Source organism: Homo sapiens, chromosome 10, assembly GCF_000001405.40.
Source record: "Homo sapiens chromosome 10, GRCh38.p14 Primary Assembly".
Lineage (NCBI taxonomy): Eukaryota > Metazoa > Chordata > Mammalia > Primates > Hominidae > Homo > Homo sapiens.
Genome location: NC_000010.11, coordinates 10,154,435 through 10,161,497, shown reverse-complemented (window position 1 = coordinate 10,161,497; position 7,063 = coordinate 10,154,435).

The following is a 7,063-nucleotide window of genomic DNA, read 5'->3' as shown; positions in this document are numbered from 1 at the left end:
CTCCAAGTCCCCACCAGATTAGCTAGATACAGAGTGCTGATTGGTGCATTCATGAACCCCGAGCTAGACACAGGGTGCTGATTGGTACATATACAATCCTCCGGCTAGACATAAAAGTTCTCCAAGTCCCCACCCAACTCAGGAGCCCAGCTGGCTTCACCTAGTGGATCCCGGTGCCAGGGCTGCAGGCGGAGCTGCCCGCCAGTCCCGTGCCATGCACCTGCACTCCTCAGCCCTTGGGCGGTTGATGGGACTAGGCGCCACTGAGCAGGGGGCAGTGCCCGTCAGGGAGGCTCGGGCCGTGTGGGAGCTCAACACAGGTGGGGCTTGGGCATGGCGGGCTGCAGGTCCCGAGCCCTGCCCTGCGGGGAGGTGGCTGAGGCTCAGCAAGATTTTGAGCATGGCACGGGTGGGCCGGCCATGTTGGGGGACCCAGCGCCCCCTCCGCAGCTGCTGGCCTGGGTGCTAAGCCCCTCACTGCCCAGGGCTGGTGGCTCCGGCTGGCTGCTCCGAGTGTGGGGCCTACCAAGACCGCGCCCACCTGGAACTCACACTGGCCCGCGAGCACCACGCGCAGCCCCGGTTCCTGCCCGCACCTCTCTCTCCACACCTCCCCATAAGCAGAGGCTCCAGCCTCGGCCAGCCCAGAGAGGGGCTCCCACAGTGCAGCGGTGGGCTGAAGGGCTCCTCAAGTGTGGCCAGAGCAGACGCCGAGGCTGAGGAGGTGCTGAGAGTGAGCGAGGGCTGCTAGCACGTTGTCATCTCTCACCATGACGATTTACAAATGCCATGGCAACATCAGGAAGTTACCCTATGTGGTCTAAAAATGGGAGGCATGAATAATCCACCCCTTCTTTAGCATATCATCAAAATATAACCATAAAAATGGGCAACCAGCAGCCCTCGGGGCTGCTCTGCCTATGGAGTAGCCTTTCTTTTATCCCTTTACTTTACTAATAAATTTGCTTTCACTTTATGGACTTGTCCTGAATTCTTTCTTGAGTGAGATCCAAGAACCCTTTCTTGGGGTCTGGATCCAGACCGCTTTCTGGTAACACTTAGACAAAATCAGCAAGTGCTGGAAGAGACCCGACCACTATCTACATAAAGATAGGACTTCCCACCTAGAATGATTATTATTGTTCCTCTCCCTGTTATCTTATAATCCGTGACAGGAAAGAAGACCTAGAATGCAACCACACCTGAACAGACTTGTTTGCAAGATAATGACTATCTACACAGATCATTTAAATTCCAAAGATAACTATTTACAAATTAATTTCTGCTGCCTGATCCAATCATCCAATTCCTCTTCTTCCCCTCCCACAGCCTATCTGTCCAGGATCTAAGCCCCCATTCTTTCTGCAACCTCACAATGACATACAAGCTTCTGGGCTCCACTGGGATATTGGGCAATCACTATCTAATTCTCTCCAGGTGCTTGGTTAAAGAAATTCATATGCCTTTTCTCTTTTTAACACCTTATTTTCAGTTGCTTTTTCAGCAAACTGTCAGAGTGCCAAGAACCTTGCCCTCCCGCAACATTACCTCATAAAATTTACATTTTCTAATGATTTCTACTTTTTTTTTGTTTTGTGGATATTACATAGTCAATGGTATTGAATTACCTTTAAGAAAGTCTAAACCAAAAATAAAATTCTAAGCCTCTCAACTGATCAACGGACCCTCCCCTCAGCCAAGGGCATTCCAAAATTAACCTGAAAAACTAGTCCTGGCCATGATGGGAAGTGGGGGTCAGACATGCCTCACAATACCTTCCTCCCTTTGGAATTCAGACCTAGCTGACCAGCATTAACATCCAAACAGAGACCTTAAGACCAACAGAACAGATTCTTTTAATCTGATAGGAAACATTTAGAATCTATTCTCTCTGAAGCCTCTTACCTGGAGGCTTCATCTGCTTAAGAACATTGGTCTCCACAACCCCTTATCTTAACCCAGACACTCCCTTCTATTGATTCCAGGTTTTTAGATAATAGCTCTTGCAACCAATTGCCAAGCAGAAAACCTTTGAGTCTGCCTATAACCTGGAAGACTCTGCTATCAATTGTCCCACCTTTCCAGACTGAACCCAAGTACATCTTACATGTGTTGGTTGATGTCTTGAATCCCCCTAAAATGTATAAACCAAAGCTTTATACATTTATACATTCATAGCTGTGAACATGTGCCCGACCATCTGGGACACATGTTCACAGCATCCTGTGTCTGTATCATGGGCTATTGGTTACTCATAATTGGGTCAGAAAAAATCTTTTCGAATATTGTAAGGAGTTTGACTCTTTTTGTCTACAAATGTAACATTTCCTCTCCTTGACATTTCTTTTTCAGAAATGCTAGAATAGGCCCTGTGATGTCCAACACATGTGACTTCAAGACTTGCTCTCCCATTTACATGCCAATGCACCTACCTAGTCTTAAACATGTAAAAGAGAGATTGAGAATATTTACAGAATAGAATTTAATTATCACAAGTTATAAATGTGACATTGTAATGTCACTGCATGAGACACCATAGAAATCTTTGATTTAATTGCTTTGTATTTTAAACATCAGATATCATCAAAATACTTAAACAAAATCGAAAGGCAAGTCATTAATATGTACTTTGGAGATGAAAGAGAGTAACACAATATATGTTGGCCAATTGCTTCTGGGAAAATCTCCCTCAAGTGAGAGTGGATTTACAGGTGTCAGTGTTCAGAGATAACAGAATATAATGATGCTTTCTATAACACACACACAAACTCAGCATACTATCAGCCAGATCTAAGAAAATGCAAGCTGGACTTCATCCTTGTTTTTCTAGGTATTCCATAGTTGTACAGAGAGTTGAATTTTGGTCCATTATCATGATGGGTTATATGTGCACTTGCAGTGACAAACCATGTTATAAGATAGTACTCTTGTTACCATTCTTTTTTTGTTTTTGAGCGAAAATCAATCTTTAAATAACATGAAAATTGATCGGCACTGATTTAAAGATTATAAATAACTACTAACCTATGGAATTTATTTGAAAAGTAAAGTTTCTGTCTCATTGCAAGGGCTATTTCCCTACTTTTTTTTTTTTTTTTTTGTATACATCTTCTTGGCTTCAGCTAGTAATCCTCCTTTGAAATACCATGGAAACAAGCAAATATGGCTCATTAAACTTCCCTTGCAGGAGAAAAATTGAAGGAATTTTTAAATTGTAGAGTAGATAAAAATAAAACACATTTCTTCTCAGGGTGATTAGATTGGCCTTTTAAATTCTTTAAAGAAAGCTACCAGAGCTAGCAAAAAATATACAAACCAACAACAAAAATTCCCAAAACTATGTGTTTTCATATTTATGAAACTTGTAACAATAAAAAAACAACTGATGATCTATTGTATTTCTTGAATATGAAACATTCTTAATTCTGTTATTTATGACTCAACAATATTTCAGATATATTGTGAAGGTAAAATAACTTTCTGATAATGTAGAAACATAATTATGAGTGACATTATAGAGCTTCTTTACTAACAAGTTGTATTTTTATAATGCCTTTCGTTAAGAAGGGCTTTGTAGAAAAAGCATCCATAGCATCAATCCCATGACAAGTGATGAGTGTCTCACTTTGACCCATGAAAACAGAACCAGGTAGGTGGTGAGCTGTTTCATAATATGATTGGAGTTCCTAATAAGCCAGAGTTATTGAATTCTTTAGTTTCTTACTGGCCTAATAATAAAGAATACTCTTTTGTCTTACGGATATTTTAGCTTCCCCACACTAAAATATTGAAGCTAAAATTGACAAACTTGTTTTTTATTGAGGGTTGACACTTTCATATGTCTTGGAGCTTGGGGGTAAAAGACAATGTTAGCTTCAGTAGTCTTCATTTATTAGTTCACTGTCAGGAGAAGCTTAATGAATAGATTTCAGAATGCACAAACATCACAGTTAGTTAGAATCTCCGCTCTTTATTCTGCCAACTTGTATTGTGTACTCTTAACTAAGGCAGTAACCATTAGGAACGTGTCTTGAATTCAATGGCCAGTCTTCGAAAAACTGAATGACGTTTTTAAAGGCACACTGTGAAGTGAAAGGAGATACTGATTCTTGTTGTTAGTATTGTGTACATTGAAATCCACTTTAACAACCAGCAATCAATATATAATTCTTTCAAATCACTGTTTTGGAATTGTTGCTGTTGCTTTCTTGCTAAACCATGGATGTCATTCATTAACAACATGTTAATTTCCCATCCATCTGGATTGAAAGGTGTCTCTACCAGTGACATATTCACTGAGGCACCTAAAGGGGACCCTGAGACCGCCAACAAATTAAACAAACACAACTGCTTTGTTATATGACAGGCCCCAAATATGTCTTGCATGCAGCAATCATCGTCTAAATCTAGATAACGTTGTTATGCTTCAGCAGCTGGTGGCTATTTCCTGGCAGTTGGGAATCTGAGTTTCATCCCATTCCTTGTAAACAGGGCATGAAGGAATAAGGCATTATTATTAGATTTGCAGAGTTTAGATATCAGATACTAACCCATAAATTATAACAATGGCCCCAGTCTGCATAGATTGATTTTGTGTTTCAATAATTTAAACTCAACCTAGATTAAATTAAATAAGGTGATTGAAAGCACCTGATAATGCCTGGAATATATAAGCCATTCAAATATATTCATGTTTTCTTTTTCTCTTATACAGTTTCCTTGTTTGCCTTGTCTACTCATAGTCCCTATTCACGTGGGCTCTGCAATTCCTTTGCTTGGATGAAATGTTCCTCACTAAGTTGCAATACAATGCAATAATAACTATACTAGATATATCACATGTATTATTAACTAGGATGAACATTTTTTCCTAACTGATGATCAGTTATCTTGATTTCTTTTTTTCAATTCAGCAATAGATTTCAAGTCTCAATAACAGAAGAAAAAAAATATATTGACTCTGCTTGTCATTTATTTGAAACTTGTGGGACATTTTCAGCCTCAATTTTGTAGTCAAACGTCCAAAGGGAAACAGCAGCATGTTTTAAATGGTTGTGCTTGACATTGAAAACATTCTCAGTTTTGCAAAATAAGTTTACTTACTTTTTTTGACATTTGTAAATGTGACCAAGGGGAAAAGACATTAGCAGTCTCCCAGGATTTCCAAAAGAAGAAAAAAAGTCTTTATATTTTGATGCATGTACATCAAGGAAATTTACCATTTATGTGGAGTTACTTCATCTGCAAGTGAAAAGTTAGGTGGTAAATAACTTTTCTGTACTAATTCTGACATGTTATTATTTGCATAACGAACATATATATTACAGAATTGCTCAGGTTCTTTCATTGGTAATTTACTTTCCATACGTGTGCATTGAAACTCATGCACCATGTGGGGAGTTTAATTTTTTGTTATCAATATTTTGCCGACTTTAGTTTAGAAATCATTTTTTTTGTTCAATTTTGATTCTGGATCTTAAACAGTAGCATAGATTATTTGAGAAAAGAAGCATGAGGAAGTAAGAATGCTCAGAGAGAAGATGAAGATTGGAAAAGACTTTACAAAGAAGGTAGCGGCCTAGCTAAGGCTAAAAGAAGGAATTACTGGGCAAGGCTGGGTGCTCTGGTTCACACCTGTAATCCCAGCACTTTGGGAGGCCAAGGTGGGTGGATCACGAGGTCAGGAGTTCGAGACCAGCTTGGCCAATATGGTCAAATCCTGCGTCTACTAAAAATACAAAAATTAGCCAGGCATGGTGGCGGGCGCCTGTAGTCCCATCTACTCAAGAGGCTGAGGCAGGAGAATCGCTTGAACCCGGGAGACGGAGGTTGCAGTAAGCCTAGATTCTGCCACTGCACTCCAGCCTGGGTGATACAGCAAGACTCTGTCTCAAAAAAAAAAAAGAAAAAAGAAAAAAGAAGAAGGAATTAGCTGGGCAAACGGAAAGGGAGAGACTGAGGGGAGAATGGAGGAGATGTTAGTAGAGAAGAACAGATTGGTACAAGGCAAGATGGCATCAAAGAGCTCCGCCCAGGTGAAGTGGGTGATTGGGGACTGATCACAGATAAACTGGTGGGGTTGACAAAGAAGACTGGAATGTAATTGTGAGAAGTTTGGAACAGACTATATCCTGTTCTGAAAAGATCTATTCACCACTTTTCTTACTGTCAAATATTCAGTCATATTTTAGGGACTGGCTGCAGGGTCACATGTGTCATCCTCTCCAGATAAAATCATTCCTCGGAGCTCCAGCATTTTTTGGTTCATGTTTCTAGTGTAATATGTAGTAGAAAAAAGTTTCACACAGAATATATGGGATCTGATCTGTTAGAGATTAAATTATTTGCCCTTGAGATCTTTTCATGTCTGAATGTGGAAACGTACTTCACTCTTTAAAGCTATGAAGCACAGTATTTCATAATGTAGATTCATTTCTATAAAACTTCATTTATTCTCCATTTTTGCAAATGTTACTGTATGATTTTATTTTTCTTGCATGTCTTTGATGGTCTGTTTAGTTGAGGATAGTTTTTGTCTTTTATTTTTTTGAGACAGTGTCTCATTCTGTCATGCAGACTGGAGTGCAGTGGCACAATTATGGCTCATTGCAGCTTCTACCTCCTTGGGCTCAAGCAGTCCTCCTACCTTGGCCTCCTACATAGCTGGGACTATAGGTTTGTGCCACCATACCTGGGCTTTTTAAAAATTTTTTGTAGTGATGGGGTCTCACTGTATTGTTCAGGCTGGTCTTGAACTTGTGGAATCAAGTAATCCTCCCACCTTGGCCTTCCAAAGTGCTGGGATTATAGGCATGGACCACCACACCTGGCTGGTTTTCAACACTTTTTTATAAATCTCTTCTATTATTTGCTTTTCTATATATCTACTCTGTTTGCTAATGTACTGTTTCACAGGTTCATTAATTTACATATCTTTCCTGTATAATTAACAGACATACATTTATTAACTTACAAATTCTCAATATTATCTGCTTTATATGTTATAAAATATTTTCTTCCAGTGTATTTCTTATATTTTAATTATACTTATGGCATATTTTGT